The sequence below is a fragment of the Homo sapiens genome, chromosome Y, assembly GCF_000001405.40.
Source record: "Homo sapiens chromosome Y, GRCh38.p14 Primary Assembly".
NCBI classification, from domain to species: Eukaryota; Metazoa; Chordata; class Mammalia; order Primates; family Hominidae; genus Homo; species Homo sapiens.
In genome coordinates this window covers 20,118,437-20,120,164 of record NC_000024.10, presented here as the reverse complement: position 1 = coordinate 20,120,164, position 1,728 = coordinate 20,118,437, and the positions used below count along the sequence as shown (strand labels likewise).

Below are 1,728 nucleotides of genomic sequence, written 5' to 3'. Positions count from 1 at the left end.
TGAACCTGCCAGAAGGAAGAAACTCTGTACACATCTGGAGGAACAAACTCCGGACATAACACCTTTAAGTGCTGTAACACTCACCGTAAAGGACTGGAGCTTCATTCTTGAAGTGAGCAAGACCATGAACCTGCCAGAAGAAAGGAAATTTGAGAACATCTGAAGGAACAAACTCTGGACATCACACCTTTAAGTGCTGTAACACTCAGCACCTAGGTCTGCAGCTTCATTCTTGAAGTTAGGAAGACCATGAACCTGCCCGAAGGAAGAAACTCTGGACATATCTGATGGATCAAACTCCGGACATAACACCTGTAAGTGCTGTAACACTCACGACCAAGGTCTGCAGCTTCATTCTTGAAGTGAGCAAGACCATGACCCTGCCAGAAGGAAGAAACTCTGGACTCAACTGAAGGAACAAACTCTGGACATAACACCTTTAAATGCTGTAAAACTCACCGTAAAGGTCTGGAGCTTCATTCTTGAAGGGAGCAAGACCATGAACCTGCCAGGAGAAAGAAACTCTGGACTCATCTGAAGGAACAAACTCTGGATATAACACCTTTAAGTGCTGTAACACTCACCGTAAAAGTCTGCAGCATCATTTTTGAAGTGAGCAAGACCATGAACCTGCCAGAAGGAAGAAACTCTGCACACATCACAAGGAACAAACTCTTTACATAACACCTTTAAGCGCTGTAACACTCACCACTAAGGTCTGCAGCTTCATTCTTGAAGTGAGCAAGACCATTCACCTGCCAGAAGGAAGAAACTATAGACACATCTTATGGAATAAACTCTGGACATAAAACCTTTAAGTGCTGTAACGCTCACCACTAATGTCTGCAGCTTCATTCTTGAAGAGAACAAGACCATGAACCTGCCAGAATGAAGAAATTCTGGACACATCTGAAGGAAAAAAACCTGGACATGAAAACATTAAGTGCTGTAACACGCACCGTAAGGGTTTCCAGCTTCATTCTTGAAGTGAGGAAGACCATGAACCTGCCAGAAGAAGAAACTCTGGCCACATCTGAAGGAACAAACTCTGGACATAACACTTTTAAGTGCTGTAACACTCACCCTAACGGTCTGCAGCTCCATTCTTGAGCAGAACAAGACAATGAACCTGCCAGAATGAAGAATCTCTGGACACATCTGAAGGAACAAACCCTAGACATGACAACATTAAGTGCTGTAACACTCACCGTAACGTTCTGGAGCTTCATTGTTGAAGTGAGCAAGACCATGAACCTGCCAGAAGGAAGAAACTCTATACACATCTGATGGAACAATCTCTGCACATAACAACTTTAAGTGCTGTAACACTCACCACCAAGGTCTGTAGCTTCATTCTTCAAGTGACCAACACCGTGAATCTGCCCGAAAGAAGAAATTCTGGACACATCTGAAGAACCAAACTCTGGACATAACACCTTTAAATGCTGTAACACTCACCGTAAAGGTCTGCAGCTTCATTCTTTCTAGAAGTGAGCAAGACCATGAACATGCCAGAAGGAAGAATATCTGGACACATCTGAAGGAACAAACTCTGGACATAACACCTTTATGTGCTGTAACAATAACCACTAAATTTTGCAGCTTCACTCTTGAAGTGAGCAAGACCATGAACCTGCCAGATAGAAGAAACTCTGGACACATCTGAAGGAAGAAACTCTGGACATAACACCTTTAATTGCTGTGACACTCACTACTAAGGTCTGCAGC

At 43.4% G+C, this 1,728-nt stretch overlaps 1 annotated feature.

Moving 5' to 3' along the window:
* Window positions 529-1,728: an enhancer, noted in NCBI's record as "BRD4-independent group 4 enhancer chrY:22280323-22281522 (GRCh37/hg19 assembly coordinates)". NCBI's record gives its function as "activates an origin of replication core promoter dependent on BRD2, P300/CBP, MED14 and CDK7 cofactors, and independent of BRD4, by STARR-seq in HCT116 cells {active_cell/tissue: HCT116}" and the evidence as "EXISTENCE:reporter gene assay evidence [ECO:0000049][PMID:35650434]".